Consider the following 23,877-nt stretch of genomic DNA (forward strand, 5'->3'; position numbering starts at 1 on the left):
TGAATTACATGCCATCTTTCCGCCTACCTTAGTTTTCTGCTATTTGACCACTATTTTTCAGTTTCTTTAAATGGCCCTTATTATTTTTGACTTCCCTTGGACATTGATACCTCCAAAGATACTAAACTTGATTCCCCTTCTATTTTTACTCTGTGTATAACCTTTATTGGAGAATCTTATGTACTACCATGGACGCCAATATAATCTTTATGTTAGGAACTCTAAAATCTATGGCTACAATCTATACCTTTTTTTTTTTTTTAAAGAAGAGATTTAGTTACCTATAAGACACCTCCAAGGGATGCTCTTTTTTAGGTTCAACTCAAACATTTTTACCTGAACTCATTGTCTCTCTTTCAAAACCCACTCCTATGTTTTAATTTGCTATTCAGTTTACAGCACAGACATTTTAGTGGTTGCCTGAGACAGAAACTTGGGAATAATCCTAAGTACTCTCTGTCATCAGCCTCCTTTCTGATTGGTAAGCAAGCCTTATCAACCCTTTTCACAACTATTGCACACATTTTTCATGATCACCACTGGTACTGTTCCTAAAACTTACTTTCTTTCTTTCTTCTTTCTTTTTTCTTTCTTTCTCTCTCTCTCTCTCTTCTTTCTTTCTTTCTTTTCTTTTTTTGAAGTGCTATAGTGCCATCACAGCTCACTGCAGCCTGGACCTCCTGGGTTCAGGTGATCCTCCCACCTCAGCCTCCTGAGTAGCTAGGACTATAGGCACATACCATCATGCCTGGCTAATGTTTTTTGTATTTTTTTAGATACCATGTTGCCCAGGCTAGTCTTGAACTCCTGGGCACAAGCGATCCTCCTGCCTCAGCTTCCCAGAGTGCTGGGATTAGAGGCATGAGCCACTGTTCCCAGCTGCAGATCTTGTCATTTCCCTTCAAACTACTGTGTTAATCTCTCAAGTGACTTTTGTATTCCCAAAGGTCCCCTTCTAATCCATCATCCATACACAGAAGGAGACTTCCTAAAATACAGGAATTATTCCCCAACTTCAAATTCATCCATAGTTTTTTAATGCTGATTGAAAAAAAAAGAGTCAGACACTATGTTAAATCAATAGACACATTAATAATATAAGTTTAAACGTATTTGTTTTCATACTTATTTCAAAGTCTCTTTTCTAGACTGTCAAGTTAAATGGTTAGTGACTCTAATGTACATGTCTGTATCCTCAGCACATCGCACAGAGCCTGAAGATAGTCGGTGTTGGTTCTGTTGAATAAATGGGATTGTTTCTGTTAAGTTGTATCTGATTGGGTTGGCCCCTTTGTTTTGTTCCACTAGTCATATTATTAAGCCTTTCATTGCTCTCTCTCTCCCAGTGTTTTGCATATTTGAGAAGGATGCCTCTCTATGTCTTCACTAAGGTATTAAATGGAAAAGATTGGGGATAAAGTTCTCTGCCATTGTACTCTGAGTAATAGCAGTAATCTGACAGTTTACTGGGTTGGAAGGTTTTTTTTCCAGGGGTGTATCAAACAGAGGGATTAAGAAGGAATCTGGGGACAAATTATGTTTGGGAAGGCAGGCAGAAACTGATGATAAACATTATCATAAAAGTGACAACACCAAATGCTGGTGAGGATGTAGACAAGCTGGATCACTCACACATTGCTGGTGTGAAAGTAAAACAGTACAGCTACTCTGGTAAAATAGTTTGACATTTTGTTAAAAAACTAAACATGCAACTACCATAAAACCCAGCAATTGTACTCTTGGGCATTTATCCCAGAGAAACAAAAACTTATATTTATGCAAAAACCTGTACACAAATGGTCATAACAATTTTATTTTAGTAGCCAAAAACTGGAAACAACACAGTTGTTCTTCAGTGGATGAATGGATAAATTTTGGACATCTTTGTAAAGAAATACTATTCAACAAAAAAGGAGAACAAACTATTTATATACACAGTAACCTGGATGCATCCTTAGAGAATTATGCTGAGTGAAAAAATGTCAAACCCCAAAGGTTAAATTTTGTATACTTTTATTTATGTAACATTCTCAAAATGACAAAATTATAGAAATAAAGAACAAATTTGTAATTTCCAGGGGTTAAGGAGACGATGGGGGCAGGAAGGAAGTGAGTGTGTTATATAAGAGCTGTATGAGAGATCCTTATGAGGACAGAAATATTCTGTGTTTTACCTGTATCAATGTCAGCATACTGGTTTTGATGTAGCAGCATAGTTTTGCAAGATACTACCATTGGAGGAAACTTGGTAGAAAATATGCTGGATTGCTCTGTATGATTTCTTAAAACTTCATGTGAATCTATAGTTATCTTAAAAAGTTTAAAAATTATTTTAAAGATCATCAGAATATAGAAATATATACATATAATTATCATATAATCATATGGAATATAATTAACATGTTATATATAATTATATACAACTATAATTATGTATAACTGTAGTTACATATATGCATATATGTAACTTTCATTCTCTTCATCCATAAATTCCACAAATTAGAGGAAACCACTGTTCACATTGATGTGCTTTTTTCAAGACATTTTCTAAATATTTACAAACATACATGAATGATACATTGCACATATGAATGACATATGCCTTATTTAAATTGTTATCTATGTGAATATTAATTTAATTTATATAATGTATATTATATTGTTTCTAATATCTAATTATATTTTTTGTTATTATAAAAAGTGCTATAGTGAGCATGCATATTTTGCATACATTTTTGTCTTTATGTCTTCAGAAAAACCTTGAAAGTGGAAATGCAAGGTCCAGAATTACATGGTGTCTAAAATTTTGATAACTAGTCACACATTTCAATGGGGAAGAACAGTTGGTATCTCAGGTGACTGAGGTCGGAGAAGTGCCATTTCCAAAGATGGGATTAGGGACCCAAGACAATGCCTAGGGTATGATTGTTCTCCCTAAGCTAGCTGTAAATCCCTTTTTATTATGTGCTGGAGGGTCAAGCCATGCAAGGTATGAATTATATGATTTCTTAGTTTCATGTCTAAGATAGGCAGTACAACCAGACAGGTAAGTACAATTTATTTGCTACATTATTTTTTATTTTAGAAAGCAACCAGATGAAGAGCTCGCAGGCTATTGAGGCAGATTAAAGACAGCAGAGGGCGCTCATTATTAGCAAAATCAAGGAAAACATTTGTGTATATATGCAAGGTAGATAATGAGAAATATCAGCACCTTCTATTGCATTAAATTTTTCACTGGGGATTCACAACTAAATGGCAACTACCTGATGCTCCCCCTTTCTAGTAACTACCTCTGACTTCATTTCAAGCATTGTTAAATGGTGCATTCTTTGTTCTGTCCTTAACTCTCTCATTATCAAATGAGAACTTGTTTTCTGATACTGACAATGACCATAATAACAGTGATAGCTATTGGTCATTCATTGTTTCCTCCATATATTTTCGATTCAGCAAATAATTATTGAATATTAGTTGCAGGATCTTTGCTGGACAGGAAGCATACAGTAATAAATTGTCATGACCCATATCTCCATAGATTTCACAGTGTAAAGGGAGAGATAGAAACCACACAAATAAACATGGGTAAAAGGATAATTATAAGTTATGATAATAACAATAAAGGAAAAGAATAGGATCCTAAGAAAGGTCACAGTGACAAGAGATTGCCTGTTTATTTTAGGTCATTTCTATGGACATGCCAAGTTGGGACTTGAGGTTGGAAGAACCCATCTTAACCAAATAATATTCTGTGTGGAAGGTACTAAGTGCATGAATATCCTGAGGATAAGGAGAACTTGGCTTCTTCAAAGAACTGAAACATCACCTGTGTTTCAGTGCACAGGTGGCAGCAGGAGCACAGGGACACAAGCCAAGGTCAAACCATGCATTAGGTGTCATGGTCATGGCCCTGTATTTATCCTAAGAGCCCAGAAAAGCCTTGGGAAATTTTGTATCCAATGTTCTCCATATACCTGAGTGGCAACACTGCATATGCAACCATATCCACTTGCATTAGTCAGACTCCTACGAGTCATTCCTGATACTTCCCTCTCCCTGACACGTCATGTAGAACTAATCACCATGTCCTGTCAACCTAATGTCTTAATATTCTCTTGAATCCTTCCACATGGTTCTGTCTGCATTGACCCTCCCTTGCTCAAGAGCTTTTGGCTGGCTTCTTGCTTTACTCTGGACCCCTCTGTCTAGCCTGCACAACAGCCAACTGATATTTTTAAAATGCAACAATGATCATATGTGTTCCAATGCTCAAAATCCTTTGGTGGCTTTCCATTGTTCTTGGATTTAAGAATAAAATCCTGACCATAACCTATGAGGTCCTGTAAGACTTACTTTCTTCCTTCTTATTTGCTTTCCAGCCACCTTGACGTTTCTTCATGGCTAGAGAACAGTATACCTAGCACAGGGCTTTTGCAAATGCCATTCACTCAACTATAAATGCCTCTTCTCCTTCATTGCCTTATGAATTTTGTCCTATTCAACCACTTTATTATTTCTCTTTTGAGATCTCAGCACATGTCTCCCTTCCTTAGGAACCTTCCTTCACCCAGTTGATACACATCTGTGACAGCTTCCAAGAGAACCATCTTCCTTCCTTCCCAAGCAAGTCTCTCAAAATGTAATTATAGGTTTATGTAGGATTATCTGATGATTTTTTGTATCTCCCACTTATTTGTGAGCTCCAAGATTGTTCAGTATTTAAATTGTGTGGTTTTGGGAGTATATGCATATGTTTAAATTCTTTAAGTGTATACTTTAAATGCATGCAGTTTTTGTACATCAGTTATAAGTTTAGAAAATTACTTATATGCTGTGAGTCCATAAAGTGTCCATTTGGGCCAATAAGGGAGTGGCTACATTTTGAAGGCTTTTTCACAATGTCCATTAGCATTTTTTAAAATGCCCTTTGATCTTGCAATTCAATTTTTGAAAACCTTTTATAAAAACATTAAATAAAAATATTTATATATAAATATTAGTGCATGTGCTTATACATATAAGCTTGTTTATTGCAGAATCCTTTGAAAAGCTGAAAAAATAGAAATGATATGAAAGTCTATCAATAGGGAAATAATGAGATATTGAATAGCTTTTTAAAGATTTCTATCTGTTTACCTAAACTAAATGCCATGAGAAATTATTCAGTGACAGTCAAGCTGCAGAGTAAAGCACTCACCCAAACCCCACTCTACATGTGAATATGTTTGGATATGTTTGAACAGTCAGGGACAACAGCAACAATATTGGTTGCTGATATGGCTGGTTTGGGAATAATCGGATTAGTGTGGGAGATTGTTAACTTTTAGAAGTATATACACATTTCCATATTCCCCTCATTTTTCCCTCTCACATGGTAACATATGCCACTTTAATAATTTTTGGATCTAAATTTTGAAGAAAACATTCTGTCAATTAGTACATATTAAAAAGTAATTCCTCTCACCTAGGTAATGGGTTGATAGATACAGCAAACCACCATGGCACACGTTTATCTATGTAACAAACCTGCATGTCCTGCACATGTATCCCAGAACATAAAATAAAATTAATTTTCTTAAAAAGAAAGTAATTCCTCTCACTCTCAAAATAAATACAAAAGGAAATCAGTCACACAGACTTTTGTTCGAGTTTGGCTCCAGCGTTACTCAACTGGGTGATCTTGTCAGATTCTCAATTGCATCATTTCAAAAGGGAATAATCATATCTAATTTTTGTACTAAGTATGAGGATTCAATGAGGTAGCATTTATGCAGGACCAAGCATGGAAGGTATCCTAATGAAATCTGTTTCTTAATAAAGGTAGGTAAGTTTGAAGGATTATAAGGCTATCCTTGAATGTCAAGCATTGCCATAGTCTGAGTTTTGGTTTAAGCTTTCTTCTGTGGTTGAAATGCCCTTCCTTCTCCTTCTCCATGTCTTCAAATCCTTTATCATTCATCAAGTCATGGATCAAATATTATTACATCAGAGAAATCTTTCCGGATTTCCGAGGGAGCATGAATGGTTCTTTGTGCTGGTTCCCATGTTCCCATGTCCGTGCCTCTGTTATGCTGCACCGTGTTGAGTATGTTTAGTTGGTTATGCACGCATATCTTCTGCATCAAGACTGTGAGGCACTTGAAAGCAAAAATCATGAGATATTCAACTGTGTACCCTTACTATCTTGCCCTTGGGTAGAAGCTCTATCATTTAAATTTCTTCACTTTTTGCAAAATACAAGAAACATTTACAGAACAGCTGCTCTCTGCTAGACACTGTTCTAATTGCTCATGATTGCACCAGAAACATTGAACAAAAAAGGCCAAATTCTTGCCTCGTGGAGATTACATTTTAATGAAGGTAGGCAGAAAAAGGAATGAAATAAATAAAGTTTTAACATTGTGTTAAAAGACATATATTAAAAAATATATATCCATAGGAGGAAAAATTAAGCAGCCAAAGAATATAGACGTATTAGGGCAGAAGATGCAGTTTTAAATAAAATGATCAATGAAGGCTTCACTGAGAAGGTGATATTTAGTACAAGACCTTAAGAAATGAAGGAGCAAGCCATGTGGCCACCTCGCGAAAGAGTAATTTAGGCACAGGGAAGAGGAAATGTAAGGCCCTATAAAAAGAACATACTTGGACTATTTAAAGACTGACAAGGATCCCAATATGGCTGGAGTGAAAAGAGAAAGCTAATGAGTAGGAGAAAGGAAGGGAAGTGAATAACTCAGGTAGGATCTTTGCCACATTGTAAAGAAATTTTTAAATGAAGTGTTTGTTTCAAATGAGATGGGAAATGGCAGAAGGAATTAATCTGAATTGAATTTTATTTAAATAGAATTACTCTATCTACTCAGCATTTCTGTAAAAAGTCAAGCATAAATTCCCTCAAGCACTTGAGTCATGATAGAAAGTTTGGGATTTGGGACAGAATAGTGATGATGTAGATTGTGTCCTCAGCATGTCACAGGGGAATTCTCTGCTGGGAGTTAGACACACTTGGCTGGAGCTCCCATGTAGCCTCTACCAATTTTGGTATCTTAGGCATGATACCAATCAGCCTCCTGAGCCTCAGTTTCTTCACCTGTCATATGCAGAAAACAATACCTCCCTAATTCACTTCAATCGCATTGCAGTTATGAGATTACAAGGAGATGATACTGGGAAAGAGTCCCAAAAGAAAAATTCTATGCAGATGAAAGAGATTCTTGATCTTTAAGAACAGGTGTACCTGCTGGCTGAAGACATGGGTCTTATTGGAGGGTAGGGGAAGAAGGCAATGAAGGGGAGGAAGAGGAAACACACATTGTAAAGCAGTTGGGAAATCTTCAAAATCTCTATAGATCGTTGGAGATCTTTGTCAGCGACCCGTTAGGAATTTACCAAATCTTGTATTGATATGGCACTTTCCCAACCCTCAACATGAAAAAGTGATTTCAAAATGTACAATAGACAGGTGAAGATAAAGGCAGGAAAGTTCTGGTAGAGTATGTTTCTCACATATAAGTAGTGTATTAATTAATATAGTTGTAGTAAATATGTTATCTAGGCACAAATCAGTGAGTCAACATTGGAAAAGAGATTTTGCAGCCACATTTGATGGGGAGAAGCAGTTTGTGTGCCAGATACTGAATATAATAGACATTCTAAGTAATTTAGTTAAGTGGGATGTGATATTTGAAATTGACACAATCCCTAGAAAATGCAGAGTGTGAGTTGTCTGAATTTATTGTAGAAAGTAACATGCATTTTTCAACATTTAGTAGGAATTCACTCTTGGTTTATCTACCTGTATTATTAAAATTATTTGTGCTGCATGCACACCTCTTCTGGCTAAGTAAAAACAGGAAGACAGACAAACAAAACATTTATTAAACATACATTTGAGTTACTTTCAGAGTTTATGTGTTTGGGAAGGACAAAACCCAAGATAGCTTTTGAGAACTCAGTAGAAGCACATAGAAACTTTATTCTAGATTAGAGCACTGCTTTAACTGGCATCTTGCTCTATAATAAGATTTCAGTCTTGTCTTACTGTCCACAGTAAACAATTCTGGGAGATTACTGTATTTCTAGCTCTGCTATGTCACATTTTACTTCTGGTAAGTGGGCAAGAACCATAGCCATGGCTGCAGAGGATCCACCTCTGTGTAATAAGGTGGTGGCACGAAAGGCCTGCAACTAAACATTTCAATGACTCTTCCATCCCTGACACTGCTATTTTATGAGAAAAATAGTGACTCTGTGGGAAGGCAATGATTTTATTAATTTTAAAAAGGTCAGTTTTTAAGTTTACTAGCATAGGAGAGTGGGCTCAGATAGTTTTAAAATACTTTCTAAAAAAGATGTGTAAAACTTTTAACTCTGAAATTGCATACATTTTTAGGAGTTGAGAGCTTGTTTTGAGGTCAGGTTTTAATCCTCTTTCTGTCACTTATTGGCTCTGTGAATTCGAACTTGCTACATTATCTGGGCTTTAGTCCTCTTATTTTGAACCATTCTTTGGTTATCCTGTTGAATATATAAATATATAAATATTCACCAAGAGATATATATTTGCATCATTAAAACTTTAAACATGGCCAGAAAAAATTACTAATAGCAACACAAATCCTCTCCATCAACTATGTGATCCCAAAGCGCCATATTTATTCTAACTTTCTAAAAGCAAAAATGCAGTCAGGGTGTTCAAAATGAGTTCTGTTTGGTTGAAGCCAGAGCCTGAATCCTGAGAACTCGTTGGGAGTTGCTTTGAGGGCTCTGTCCTGGAGGACTTGTGGAGCCAAACTGGAAAAGCAGGATTTGGCTGCTCTTGGATTGTCCAGGAGCCACATGGGTGTGTCCTTTGAAACACAAGCCAAAGAGAGGAAAACAATTACCAAGTAGAGCTGGTTTAAGACGTTAAATAAACCAAATAACTTTTAACCTTTCCCTTAAAATTTTTATGCTTCTGCACTTTAAAATAGAAGAGGTTTCATAATAAAATCAACTATAATACATTCTTGAGGAAATGAGCAACAAAAACAACAAAGCAAAAATTCAGAGTATATAAAGAAAGAATCAGAAACAAGAATGAAGGGAGAATGTACATTGAATAAACTCCTAAGGATAAGTTGAGTCACCAGTTTCACTGAGTTTCTGGATAGATAGGTGATGAAAAAGAAAAAAACTAAGTCACATAAATCTTTTTTTTTTTTTTTTTTTTGAGACAGAGTCCCTCTCTGTTGCCCAGGCTGGAGTGCAGTGGCTGTGATCCTGGCTCACTGCAGCTTCTGCCTCCCAGGTTCAAGCGATTCTTCTGCCTCAGCCTCCCGAGTAGCTGGGACTACAGGCACCCGCTACCACACCTGGCTAATTTTTTGTATTTTTAGTAGAGACAGGGTTTCACAGTTTTAGCCAGAATGGTCTCGATCTCCTGATCTCATGATTTGCCTGCCTCAGCCTCCCAAAGTGCTGGGATTACGAGCCACAGTTTCGCTCTTGTTGCCCTGGCTGGAGTGCAGTGGCTTGATCTTGGTTTACCACAACCTCTGCCTCCCTGGTTCAAGCGATTCTCCTGCCTCAGCCTCATGAGTAGCTGGGATTACTGGCATGTGCCACCATGCCCGGCTAATTTTGTATTTTTAGTAGAGACAGTGTTTCTCCATGTTGGTCAGGCTGGTTTCCACCTCCCGACCTCAGGTGATCTGCCCGCTCGGCCTCCCAAAGCGCTGGGATTTGGTAGGCACCTGTAATGGCATGAGGCACTATGCCCAGCCATCACATAAATCTTATAAGCAGAAAAGAGGAATCTGACTTTAGGGAAGGCATATTTTTTTTTTTTTTGCCTGATTTCTAAAAGAAAAATTTTCCATAAGACTTCATGAAAACGTAATCAAGTGACATTGTGGCCACGGGCAATTTTGCTTATCAGGTGCACTGGAATTTCCTGTCTGACTTACTTATTCCTAGATCCCTCCCTAGGAAGTTCTGACTGAGCAAGTCTAAGCATAAAAGTCTAGTGTGTCCTATAGTACATTTTGCCTTAATCCAAAACACTTGTATAAAAATTAAGAATTCATAAAGTGACTTTCTATCCATTACCTCTTTTGATAATTTTAGTAATCTAGTGAGGTTTGTCCAAATTTGTTTTTAAGCAGGAAAGAAAATTTATACTTAAAATATCAAATGACTTAAGACACAAAAAAAGATGACTTGAATTCATATGGTTTTAAACAATGCAGGACAAATGGAGTTAAAATTTTAATTTTATTGAAAATATTAAAGCCAGTAAAAATCATGCCAATGTTGTTCAGTAGAGGCTGAGAGGTTCTCAGATGAACCAGGTATTCGGTTATTGGATATTTTTCCAAATACTGTACCTCTCTCTACTCATCATATCAGGTTGTGTGTAGAATCTCTTCTCTCAGAGTTCACCTTATTTGTAGAGCATTCATAATGCTTATCCCCTCCTCCAGATATTCCTTCTTATCTTTTCCAAGGCATTCCCAAGGCCCCTTTATGCATAACTTTATCATTTCCTTCCACAGTTATGAGATACACAGAGCTATGTGATTGCTGAGTCCATAAACTTCTCAACAGCCAGCTAGTTATTCATTTTGGTAGCATTGGCTGATTGATATAGTAGGTATGGATTAAAGAAGCATTAAAGAAATGTGTAAAAAAAAAAAAAAGGGAGGGATCGGCCGGGAATGGTGGCTCACACCTGTAATTCCAGCATTTTGGGAGGCCGAAGGGGGGTGAATCACTGTCAGGAGTTCAAGACCATCATGGCCAACATGGTGAAACCTCATTTCTACTAAAGGAAAATACAAAAATTAGCCGGGTGTGGTGATGCACACCTGTAGTCCCAGCTACTCGGGAGGCTGAGTCAGGAGAATCACTTGAACCCAGGAGGCAGAGGTTGCAGTGAGCCGAGATGGCACCACTGCACTCCAACCTGGGTGACAGAGTGAGACTCTGTCTCAAAAAAAAAAAAATCAATGTTAATAAGAGAAACATAAGATCTATCTATCCAACTACCTATCTTAATTTAGGAAATTCTGGCTGCATGCCATGTCTCATGCCTATAATCGGAACAGTTTAGGAGGCTGAGGTGGGCATCCAAGTGATCACTTAGATCACTTGAGGCCAGGAGTTCAACACCAGCCTGGGCAGCATGGTGAAACCCTGTCTCTACTAAGAATACAAAAATTAGTCTCTCCCTTAGTTGCTTCCTTCTCCCTAGTTTAATGTTTTTTATATTACAACCCTAGATTGAGCCATTCCTCCCTGCTCATCAGGGCATCTTAGGTTGGTTCATGCATCAATTCCAAGTTTTTCATGTGCAGTTAAAAAATTTATGGCATTAAGATTCCCTATGTTTTAAAAATTCATAAGGAGAAAAGTGGGGCTCAGGCAGGTAAAGTGGCCTGACCACGGTTACATAACCATTAAGTGGCTGATTTAGAAGTTGAATTTACATCTTGTCTATGTCTTCTGTTCTTTCTGCTCCTCCATGTGGCCTTGCCTATTAGACTACATCATAGACCAGACCTGTAGGATGTACTCCAAGGATTTGGGGTGTGGGTACCAAAAATTATAGGTGTGTACCAGAAGCCGGAATGAAGGCAAAGTATTAGGACACCTGCAAGAAGAGGCAGGCTGTTCTCTGAGAAGATGGGAATGAAGACATACAAACATAAGTGACTGAGTTTAAAAGCTTAATTGGCCTTAGGGTAAGAGTCAGGAGTGTCGGGGTTGGGCATGTTTTGATTTCAATGCCCAAGCCTGATTCTCATCCTTAGAAGCACATGGGAAAGGGTGGGCTAAGTTCCGGGGGAATATGATAGTAGCTTTCTGAACTTACATTAATCACACCCAGGTTATGAAATGGAGCCAATGGGGAAAAGGAGCATTTCCAGACCAGATCACAAACAGAAGTTGGGAAAGGCCATGCTTCCTGAATATGCAGATAAAGTAACTCAACTAAGCAAAGGGGTGGTGTTGTATTTCTATGAACATCTTGAGGTATGACTTAGATTACTTAGCTTAATCATTATTCTCCACTGCCTTCTCCTATACTATTCTGCTCTGTTTCCAGTAGCACTATGGCTTAGAGATACAGCACAGGCCTTGGAATCAGGCTGCTTAAATTCAAATTGTGTCTTCATCCTTTATCAATATAGCCACATTAGCAAACCTCCCTGAACCTTCATTTCCTTATTTATAAAATTTAAGAATAATAATATCTATTTTGCATAGTGATTATGAATTAAATACTACAAGCCCTTAGTCATTAATCACTTAGCTTAATGCCTAAAACAGAGTAAGAACACAGTTCATACCAGCTACTAATATTACTACTTTTCCAGATCTAACACTTTTGTTTTCGTATTTCAATATGCATTTTCAGGAGAGACCCGAGTAGGGAAAAAGCAAGTATTTCTGAGCACTCAAACTATATTGTTTGCCCATATATCTAACTGCGTGAGATAGAAAGTTTGTTATCCTTTCTCTCTGAATTAGGTTCAGCAAATTTCACTCTTCTTATGAGTAACTAACTGCATGATTACGTGGGTCCTTAGATTGCTAGTGCGTGCTAGCCCCTCATTTCACAGGCTGAACTTGTACAAAGCAAGTTCCTAGCAGATTTGTGACAGGAATCAGGTCTCCAAACTTGCCATCCTTATTCACTTCATCTCACAGCTCTACCTCCTCTCTTAAGAAAATTTTATTATTAGAAACTTGTACATGAAAAAAATATATTCATTTATTTTTTTAAAATGTACTTTTTCTGCTTGTAGGTAGACATGGGTAACCAAAATTATTAAATAAAACTGGACAGACTCTTTTTCCTTTGTCCAATACACTGTTATTTCAGTTGTAAATTTTAAGTGAAAAATCACCTGAGGATGTCACTTTGATGAATGTTTTCCTTCATTATCATCAAATTCCATAAATCCTCTTGAGAAAAAAAGAGAAAATAAGAATTACAATTGAGACTGAACAGGAGTGTTAGAATGATCACTAAGGCGCTGTATAATGTTTGAGCCACACTGTTCTTCTCTAGATTTTTCTATGTCAGAAAGAAATAAGACCTAAAATTTCTACATAGTTCATAGTGGGCAAGTAATTTATGCATAATTATCTTTTTTGCATCTGCCAACAAACCCATTAGTTAGGTATCTATTCACACATAAACTCCATAAAGTCATATATTTTGGTATATTTTTCCAGTAATATATCCCCAGCACTTAGAACAGTGCATGGCAAATAGTAGAAATTAATAAATATTTGTTGAATGCATCTTTATTATCTCTTTTTATGTGTGAGAAAACCTTTGAAGCTTAAAGATTAAACAACCTGTCCAAAGCACATGGCTGGTAAGTTACAAAGAAAATTTAAAAATTTGGCTCTCCAGAGTCATTACTAAATGCTAGAAACATTATGCCCTATGGCTTAAGGACTGGGTACCAGGGTATCTGCTGAGATCGTAAAAGATAACTAAAATATGGTTTGTGAATTGCAGTCTAGTGGAGAAAACAGACAACTCAGATACAAGTAATTTAATACAATGTGGGGATAAAAGTTGTTATGAAGATTTCTGCAAAGGATTATGAAATCCCTGAATATGAAAAACTGAAATTTCTGATGTTAAGTGTCTATGACTTTTTTACAGAGTTTGTTTTTGAATTGGGCTTTAGAAAATGATTAGACTTGCCAAGTGAACAGAGTGGGGTTTTGGCTTTGGGGCTAGGCATTTTCAGCAGAGGGAAAAATCACACGCACAGATATTGGGGGTTTATACAAACATGACCTGCTTTAAAATGAAACTCATTAGTCATTGGGGCTTCAGGTTGCAGAGGTGAGAAATGTGACTGAAAGATACATTGGCATCAGAGAAGGACATTTGACATCAGCCTAATGCATTTGCTTGAATTTTGGAGGCAATGGAAATTCATGAAAAACTTTCAAGCATGGCAGTGATATGACCAAATTTAAATTTTTTTGATATAAAGTTCTGGTAGTAGGTAGAAGATGAATTGATGAGACAGAAGGTGGAACTTATTAGAAATCCAATAAAAAGAGAGACAGAGAAAAGTGAAACTTATTAGAAATCCAATAAAAGGAACTTGGGAAAGAGATGATAAAGGACTCAACTTGACCAACTAGTCAGTGGAGCTGAGGAAGAGAAATGTATATAGGGTGCATATACATATACCCGAGGAAGGTATATAGGGTAGAATATTCAGCAATTCGATGAAGGTGATGATGAGCAGGAAGGATTTGAGAAGATCCTTAGATTTCTGGATTCTGGGTGGATGATGATGTGACTTAATGAGATATGGAGGAAGGTTTTGAGTGAGATGATGGGCTTGGGTTTAGACCAGTGGAATTTGAAATAGTGGTAGAAAAACGATGGAATTTTGTAGCAAGCAATCAGTTATTCCATCTGGAGCTCAGGAAAAAATTGCAACAGAAATGTGAATTTGAAACTCATTAGATTATAGGCAGTGTTCCCAATGTGTAAACTGCAATGTGAAGAACCAAGCACGTTTGGAATTCTGAGGAACAATGACATTTGGAGGGCAGGTGCATGAAGAAAAGTCAAATAAAAAGAATGAGAAAGAATGGCTAGTGGTAGAGAGAGAACCAGGAAAATACATCATGGAACCCAGAGGGGAAAATATTCCCTAGAATTAAGGGCTCTCAAAGGGTGAGAGGAGTTAAGAATATGTATATTTTTCAGAAAAATGATGAGCAAAATGCAGTCTAGGTAGCTCCAAGCTGATCCAAAAGCAAGTGGAGAGAACAATCCAGTCTATTCATTGTTTCAAATGCATGTCTCTAGCATTTACTATGCATCTGACACACCACTTAGGCATCAGACATATTGGAGTAAATAAAGTAAAATTCCCACCTTTATGAATCATTGTTATTCCTCTCATTCTCTCTTCCAAATCAAATATTGTTTAGTCATTCAAGGCCCAAATTACATCTTGCTTTTGCCATAAACACTTCCCTAAGCACACTGGACCCATTGAGAACTCCTTTCGCTGGAAACTGCCTGTGATCTTTGGCTGACATTTATCTTGCTACTCATTTTTATTTATGGCATTGTGCATTGGCTTAAGTAATTTTACCATAAGGACTGCAAATTATTTGAGGAGAAGGGATTAAGAGCCTAGACTATTCCTTCACAATCCGTGTCCCTGCTTTGTACATGTTAAGTGCTTAGCAATACTTTCTGACGTCTCCTCCTATCCTCCACCCCCTATTTTGCTTATGGTCTTCCCTTGAGCAGGGAGTTATGGGTATGTTTTAGATCCTGGCTCTACCACCCGCAGATTTATCTCTTGAGCAGATATTGCTGTGTCTTTGAGCAAAGATCCTTCAGGATTTCTCAGTCAAATTGAGGTAGATGGGCTTTAGGTCTGATCTGCAAGATATCTTTCCTTAATTAATTAATTCAAGTGCCTGACACTATATGCCATGTACTGTGCTCTTGCAACCAGTCAGGTGATTTGGTCTCTACTTTCACTTAGCTACTTGATTAAAAATAAATAAGTCATTTCGGATGGTAACAAATATTATGACACTGTAACAAGGTAAAGTGATAGAGAATAACAGGCAGTGGGAATGGAAGAAGACAGTATTAACAAGAATGGTCATAGAATAGTTTCTGAGGAAGTGACTTTTAGATTAGCTGTAAGCTCAAGAACTAGTCATTAGAAAAGGAGAGTATTTTAGTAAGGAGGGAGAGCAAGGGAAGAGAGCCTGAGATGGTAATAATTTCTAGCAACAGAAAGAAGGTCATTTACTCAGAATGTAATGAGGGAAAGGGAAACCAGTAGATGAAGGGCCATTTCTGAGCCTAGAGCGGACAGCAATTCTTTAGCATATCAGAGAGTCGACTCTTATGGTTAACACAGAGAAAAATGTCCTATTTTATACTTGGAAAATTCCCTAGGGAAGGAATGAAAAGAACTCTTAGTGTTCTAACTCCTTGTTTTGCTGTGTGGATGTAACAATACTAATTCAACTGGAGTCTAATCTTTAGTTTGTATGTAATGGGTGGTGCTCCTATTGTCGGCCTATGACTTTCCTTCTTGTTTACATTAACAGTCTTGGAAAAATAACAGTTGCAAAAGCAACCACAGTAGGAAATGTAACAATTAAAAAAAAGCACCTGTGAGTTTTAACAATTTGTGGAGAAGGATTGCCTGTAGAACACTGCCCAATCAGATGACAATCTATCCCTTTAAGCAGATCAGAGATTACAAAACCCCTGATTACTCCTACATGGAAGTGGTTCTTAATCTGCTATTGGTTAAAGACCCCTTTGAAAATCTAATAGAAGTCATGAACACTTTCCCCGGGAAAATGCAAAAATAAATAAATAAATAAATCACACTGACACAAAATATTAATAAAAATGTAAAGGTTTTGTGGATCTTTAAGGCCCATCCATGCAACCCAGAACATCTGATCAAGGCATGGCTTTTGAAAATTTCTGTATATCAGAATTACCTGAAAAGCTTGTTGAAAACCATATCCATGGCCTTGTCCCCAGAAAGATGCAAAATGGGATGCAGAAATCTGCATTTTTAAAAATAAATTCCCCCAAGGGATTCTGTATCAGGTGGGTATACCACACCTAGTCAAACTCTGCTTAAGGATCTATATGGGAGAAAATTAGAGAGCAGAGGCTTAGAGCAGTGGAAATTGAAAGCACCTGGAAATTTGGAAGAGTGAATTTCATCTTGGAGAACTGAAATTTGGGAGATTAATATGGGGAGAATAAAGCATACAGTGTAGTAGTGTCAAATCAAAACTATGTAGGCAAAAATAATATGTATTGGGAATTAGACACAGGCTTGGAAGCAGGCTGAGAACATTGGGAAGACTCTGGGATTGGTGATCTGCCCGAAGGCAGTCTCTCATGATGAAAACCAACACTCATGTTGAGAGGTTCTCTAGATTGTCTTTAAAGAGAGGTTATCTACTGTCTCTGCTAACCTTCTTGAGCTACTCAAGCTAGAAAATATAGGCAGGACTCCTCACACCCATCACTAACGAACATATCACTACCTCTTACCTTCATCACGTAATCACAGTGCTTACAAGGGGCGGGCCATCTATTATTTTAACTTCACAGTTAAAATATGAGCAAATAGAGGCCTTCAGAGTGGGAGGGCCTTGTTCAAGACCACCTAGTAAAATAGCAACTGAGTTAGGATCAGAACTTGGCTTTTTGTTCCTTAGTCTAGTGTTCTTCCTCCTCCCTATTTGCTCCTGAGATTAAAAAGAAAAAAAAAAAAAAATCCTGTATGGAACCACTTGATGGGAATGTCCTTTCCCCCAAAAAGCTCAGGGCAGTTGATTCAGATGCAAAATATATTTTAAGTAGGGCAACATTTTTCAATGAAAAATAACACATTTACTTATGCCACAAATTTTGTTTCTCATGTATTTTAATGCCATGAGGTCATTGTGTGGTCATTATCAACAGAGAATTGGACAAAAAGCAACGTTTTTCTCAGTGCTTACGTGCTCCTGGACATGGAGCGGAGGATGAACTCGACTGCATTCTCAATGATCTCTGTGCCCAGGAGGCTTAGGAATTTGGGGAAGTCTGGCTTTGGGTCTTTGCCCGAGTCGTCTGGCTTGTCGTCTGGCTTGTCTGGTTTGTCGTCTGAAAAACAACAGAATCTCAGAGGTGATTCTCAGCAACAAAGAAGGAATCATTCTTTCTGTGTGGGGAACGCTTGGGATTCTTTCTGACCCACTCACAAATTTCATAGCCTTATATGGTTATATTCATCGAACATTTAATGCCTGTCTGGATAAAATCTTCACATGCATTGTCTCATTTATTTGTAAAAACAAACAAATAGACCGACTGATATTGATACTTAGGTAGACACTGGCACCGCCTGGTGAGTGAGAAAACCAAAGTTCCCAGAAGCTAAGTACTTATCTCAGAGTTAAGCAGCCAGTAAGTGCCAGTGCCAGGACTGACATACAGAATGTCTGTTTTTCCATATGATCTCCATGCCCATGGTAATAATAATATTAAAGATAAATTATCAACTGGGTGAGGTGGCTCATGCCTGTAATCCCAGCACTTTGGGAGGGTGAGATGGGAGAATTGCTTGAGGCCAGAAGTTTGAGACCAGCCTGGGTAACATAGTGAGACTTCCATCTCTACAAAAAGTAAAAAGTAGCCAGGTGTGATGGTGCACACCTGTAATCCCAGCTACTTGGGAGGCTGAGGCAGGAGGATCTCTTGAGCCCAGAAGATAGGGGCTGTAGTGAGCCATGATCGTTCCACTGCACTCCAAGCCTGGGTGACAAAGTGAGACCCTGTCTCTGAGAAATAAAATAAATAAATAAAAATGAAATATCAATGGGTAACATTTGTTGAATACATGCCTATGACGATCTACATGGATTGTCTTATTTTATCCTCATAGCAATTCTACAAGGTAGGAACAATTATCCCAATTTAAAGGTAAAGTAATATAATTTGAGAGATGTTTAGAAACTGGTTGAAAGTCACATAGTTAGTAAGTGGCAGAAATACAATTCAAACCCATGTCAGTTTGGCATTAAAATTTGGATTCTAAAGTACTCTATGATGAGCTGCACAGTCTTTGATGGAAAAGTTATGCAATTTGCACTTCTTTTAGAAGATTCAAAATAGTATAACAATAATGATGACAAAGCAATTCTATCCCTTGCATATCACCTAGTAGTTTCATAAATAGTGATTTTACAAATGTTGTGTAATTTTATCCCCTGAGCAATCTTACAGAGTATGCATTTTTTAGCTCACTGAACTGAAAAGTGAAAGGATTAAGAGGCTTACAGAAGACCTCATAGACAGTAAGAAAAATGCTAAGATGATAACTGCAGGCCTCTTAACACTAGATTCTTAAGGGCCCATTGGAATGAGGGCCAAGGATCCAGAGTGAGGTTGATTATATTCAAGGTCCCTTGGGGGCTTTTTGACTTTGCTTGATTGTCTTTATTCCCAGGAGATGAGAAGAGATGGAAGAGTGACAGTAGCTACATGTGGTCGCCCCTCTGAGCCCTGGTCACAGGATAAAGTGGGACCTTTATTTTTTAATTGTATTGTACCCTGACAAGTAATGTTACCAGACTGGGTACATAAAAATACAGGATGCCTAGTTAAATTTAAATTTCAGATAAACAACAAATGCTTTTCTGGTACTATAAAAAAGATCCATGCAATAATTAGGACACCCTGATGCTGAAAGATTATTCATTGCATATCAGAAATCCAAATCTAACTGTGTTTCTCGTAGTTTATCTAGCAACCTCAGCACAAGTTTTAACTCAAGAAGTCCCAACTTCTAGACAATGTACCCCTGACTTTGGATAAAGGAGATGTAACTACCTTTTGTGTGGAGGCTGCCAAATTATGTCAGAAACTTTACATCTATATTATATCCTAAAATGGAAACTATTAGTAAAAAAGATTGGCAGGCAATTCTATGAGCATTTATTGTTTACTATGACACAACTAAAGATTTGATAGAAGCACCAGTTTGGGACATATAACCAAAATCAATATACTAATCATCACCTATTCATATATCCAATGATTGGTTCCTTCATTCAAAAAGTATTTTTGGGCCTACTTTTTTAATGTTTTATTTTTGAAACAGGGCTTCACTCTCTCGTCCAGGCTGAAGGGCAGTGAAGTGATTACAGCTCACTGCAGGCTCAACGTCCTGGGCTCAAGACATCCTCCCACCTCAGCCTCCTGAGTAGCAGGGACGACAGGCATATGCCACCACAGCTGGCTAATTCTTGTATTTTGTGTAGAGACGGGGTTTCGCCATATTGCCCAGGCTGGTCTCGAACTCCTGGGCTTGAGTGATCTGCCCACGTCGGCCTCCTGAAGTGCTGGGGTCACAGGTGTGAGCCATCCTGCCTGGCCTGAGCCTACTATTATGTGCATAGTTATGCTAAGAGTCAAGGTAAAAAAAAAAAAAGACAACTGTAGATATGACCTTCACATAAAGTGCTGGGCAACCCAGGTACTCAGAAGGATTGGTTTGTTTTTATTGTGGGAAGGAGGCGGAAGCGGAACTCATGTGTAAGGTGCCTATCGTGCAGGTACTCCATCAGTGCTTTCAGCACATGCCTTAATCGTCATTTAGCTCAGCAGTGGTATCACAGTTACAGCAGAGAAGACAGATGCTCAGGAAAATTAAATGACTCACCTGAAATCACTCATCTAGAAAGTGGCTGACCCAGGGTTTGAACCTAATTTTTTTTAACTCCACAAAGCACATTATTCACATTGTATAATACAACCTCCAAACAATTGTTCTGTAAAGACATTTGCCAAATGCAAAGCAGTAATTTCTTGCATGAAAGATGAGATTTTTTCTCCTGTGTTTCTATCTGGCTACTTGCATAATAAATTCTATTGACTTGTTATTTTAATATGACACTAAAACCTGGCTTTTCAAGATGCAAGAAGCCTGGGATTGGAGTGGGCGGAAATCAAAATCTTGGCCTTAGCTTGTGAACCCCATATATATTGAGAGGTATTAAAGTGTGATGGATTGCATGCTCTGGAGTTTTATAGATCTGTCTGATTCCTGCCTTTAACAAAAAATTAGCCATGTAAACTTGCACACAGTGCTTAACTTTGCATCTCTCAGTTTCCTCATATGTTGTCAGGATTGAAAGATATTTTATATATTATATATCTATATATATATACACACACATACATATATCTATATTATATATACATACATATATCATATATATACCACTTATCGTAGTACCAATCCCAAGATAAACTTACCTTATATAAATAAATAATAAATGAAAGAATGAATAAATAAATGTTATCTGTTTTATTGTTACTATTAATAATAATAGCAGCAAAATGATTTATAATTCACTTTCTCCTCTAGTGCTTTAGAAGATAATATAAATTTTAAAAATGCTATTAAAATATTAAACGATTGATATCCTAGAAACAATCTTCAAAGTCAATAGTTTAATATTTTCTTTTTTCAAGTATTATATGGGATAGCCTTTATTTACAGTAACTACTTTGTTGAGTTTCTTAGTGAATGTGAATATAATGTTCTTAATAAACAGTATTGCTGATATTTGTAGAGTTTTAATAGTTTACAAAGTAATTAAAAAGCATATTCATTTGACCTGGTGAAGTTGATAGTTATCCCGTTTTACAGATAAAGAAACTGAGGTTCAAAGCAGTGAACGATTTAACCAGTTTCAGAGTTTATAAGAGACAGGGTGGTGCCTGGTCTTGGTATCAAATCTCTCCTTTCACTTCACTGTAGTGATTTCTTTAGGAGTAGAATGGACTGAATAATATCCGTGGCCATGTCTAGAGTAATTCTGTTGTAATGTCTGTCTGTGTGTTCTTCAGCCAAGTTACATTCAAAGGATTCTGTCACTAAATGTTTGCACTCCCTCTGTTTTCTGGTCTATCATTCTGAATGGAGCTCACAGACTTTTGCAGACAAACAGTAAATTAATTAATGAGAAGGCAGCATACAGCATGAGCTTCTATGTGCTTGGAAAAGGTGGGAAAGAAATAGTTGCTCGATAATAGTAGAAAGAATCTAGGAACCTAGGTTTCACTCCCAGATGCCACTTTCACCTGTATGTATGCTCAAGTAACTTGCCCTCTGCAACCTGTTTATTAACCTGCAAAAAGGAAAATGATAAAACTGTACATGTTTACATCATTGGATTACTATGAGAACCAAATGAGATTATACATGACAACAATAGCAGGTAGTATTTATTGCATGCTTACTATCAACCAGGTACCCTTCCAATTTGTTTCATTCCTTTTATTTAATTTTCATGATAACTTTACGAGAAAGTTAAATGTCCCCATTTATATGTGAGGCCTAGAGAGATTGAATAGCATTCCTAAAGTCACATTTCTGGTTAGTGGTAGAGCCAGGTACAGGAGTTTTATTCCAGAGTACATATTCTTCACCAATGAACATTATTAGGAATAATTATCAAAAAATAAATGCCAGTCAGCTCCCATGGAATTTATACTAGAATAGTGTCATTATATCATAAGAGCACATAAAAAAATTTCAAACTTCATACATCCACTGAAAATAGAGGCTAGGTTTTTATTAAAATTCTACTTTCTTTGTGTTAGAAGATACACCTCTTGTCTCCCAGGCCAGTGCTCTTTCTGGAGTGCCCAAAGACCCCTTCTTTCTTTTATGTTCTGAATCAGTGCCATCAGCTTTCTCTAGTCACTGCTAACTACTGAACAATTCATGGGCTGTGATCAGAAGCACTTACCTGCATAGCAGGTCAGGAATAAGACAAGCAGTCCCAGGACAACTGTCAGGCGAAGTACTGAGACAGCCATTCTGGTAGCACGGGGTATTCGTGCAGATAAATTGTTCAGATACATGTGAAACAATGCTCCATTTATAGGGCATAGATAGGTGACATCATCTGCTTTGGAATTTAGATTGTTGCACAAGATGTCTGCACAGCTTGCTTTTGGATCTGTACTAATGAGACATACCCTATCATTCAAACCAAACATTTTACATATAGGGAAAGAAAAACCCTCTTGATTTTTAAAATTTGTATCTATAAAGGGTTCTGGAGTGAATCTCTTGAGGCTAGTTTCAAGGCCAGCATTGATAATTAAAGGGATATCAGGTAGAATTGCTCGTCAGTGCCAAGCAGCAGGCAACAAATCAGATTGGCAAGGCAAGCCTACACCCTCCCTTTACACTCTATGCCTTCCCTCGTGCTCTGGGACAATCCCTTGTTCCCACATGGGCATGCCCTTTCACACCCCATGCGTCTGCTCTTGCTCTTCCTTCTTCCTCAGATACCCTCCTCCTTGTCTCCCTTCGGATCACTCCTACGTATTCCTCAGTTCAAATGGTCCTTCTTTGTGATACCTTCATGATAACCACTCCACCCTTCTCCAGGCAGTTTGTTACTTCATCATCTGCCCTATAGCACACTTGACCCCATTGTATAAGAACTAAGTGTTGGCTGGGCGCGGTGGCTCACACCTATAATCCAAGCACTTTGGGAGGCTGAGGTGGGCGAATCACGAAGTCAGGAGTTCAAGACCATCCTGGCCAACATGGTGAAACCCCGTCTCTACTAAAAATACAAAAAATTAGCTGGTCGTAGTGGCAGATACCTGTAATCCCAACTACTTGGGAGGCTGAGGCAGGAGAATCGCTTGAACCCTGGGAGGCGGAGATTGCAGTGAGCGGAGATCACACCACTGCACTCCAGCCTGGGTGACAGAGTGAGACTCTGTCTCAAAACAAACAGAAAACGACAACATAAACTGTCTTATTTATTTTACTTTTATTTTTCTCTTTTTTTTCCATCAACTTTTATTTGAAGTTCCAGGCTACACATGTAGCCAGCAGGATGTGCAGGTTTGTTACATAGGGAAACATGTGCCATGATGATGATTTGCTGCACAGATCAACCTGTCACCTAGGTTTCTTTCTTTCTTTTTTTTTTTTTTTTTTTTTGAGACTGAGTCTCGCTCTGTTGCCAGGCTGGAGTGCAGTGGCGCGATCTCAGTTCACTGCAACCTCCGACTCCCTGGTTCAAGTGATTCTCCTGCCTCAGCCTCCCTAGTAGCTGGGACTACAGGCATGTGCCACCATGCCCAGCTAAGTTTTGTATTTTTAGTAGAGACAGGGTTTCACTATGTTGGCCAGGATCATCTCAATCTCCTGACCTCGTGATCTGCCCGCCTCAGCCTTCCCAAGTGTTGGGATTACAGGCGTGAGCTACCGTGCCTGGCTGGCACCTAGGTATTAAGCCCAGCATCCATTAGCTATT

At 37.8% G+C, this 23,877-nt stretch overlaps 1 protein-coding gene across 3 annotated transcripts; it reads right to left on the minus strand.

Moving 5' to 3' along the window:
• On the minus strand, positions 1,798-22,451 carry C5orf46 (chromosome 5 open reading frame 46). Of its 3 annotated transcripts, none has more exons than XM_005268446.4 (4): positions 22,345-22,451; positions 17,542-17,686; positions 12,897-12,954; positions 1,798-6,137 (listed from the first exon to the last, which is right to left on the minus strand). In XM_005268446.4, the coding sequence occupies exons 1-3, from the start codon at positions 22,412-22,414 to the stop codon at positions 12,906-12,908; spliced, it is 264 nt and encodes an 87-aa protein (XP_005268503.3). In that variant the 5' UTR covers positions 22,415-22,451; the 3' UTR covers positions 1,798-6,137; positions 12,897-12,905. The 3 variants fall into 3 exon arrangements, with proteins under 3 accessions (XP_005268503.3, NP_996849.2, XP_047273125.1); NM_206966.3 differs by lacking the exon at positions 1,798-6,137 and adding an exon at positions 8,635-8,852; XM_047417169.1 differs by lacking the exon at positions 1,798-6,137 and having other exon boundaries at positions 10,244-12,954.
• Between the last annotated feature and the right edge of the window lie 1,426 nt (positions 22,452-23,877).

The sequence above is a fragment of the Homo sapiens genome, chromosome 5 (assembly GCF_000001405.40).
Source record: "Homo sapiens chromosome 5, GRCh38.p14 Primary Assembly".
Taxonomy (NCBI): domain Eukaryota; kingdom Metazoa; phylum Chordata; class Mammalia; order Primates; family Hominidae; genus Homo; species Homo sapiens.

What these genes read in the sequence shown, in the direction of transcription:
- C5orf46 (XM_005268446.4), bottom strand. Translation starts at nt 22,414, where the DNA reads ATGGCTGTCTCAGTACTTCGCCTGACAGTTGTCCTGGGACTGCTTGTC. An exon ending in ATTCCTGACCTGCTATGCAG is followed by an intron (nt 17,687 to 22,344) that starts GTAAGTGCTTCT and finishes GTTGTTTTTCAG; the next exon opens with ACGACAAACCAGACAAGCCA. An exon ending in CGCTCCATGTCCAGGAGCAC is followed by an intron (nt 12,955 to 17,541) that starts GTAAGCACTGAG and finishes TTTTTTCTCAAG; the next exon opens with AGGATTTATGGAATTTGATG.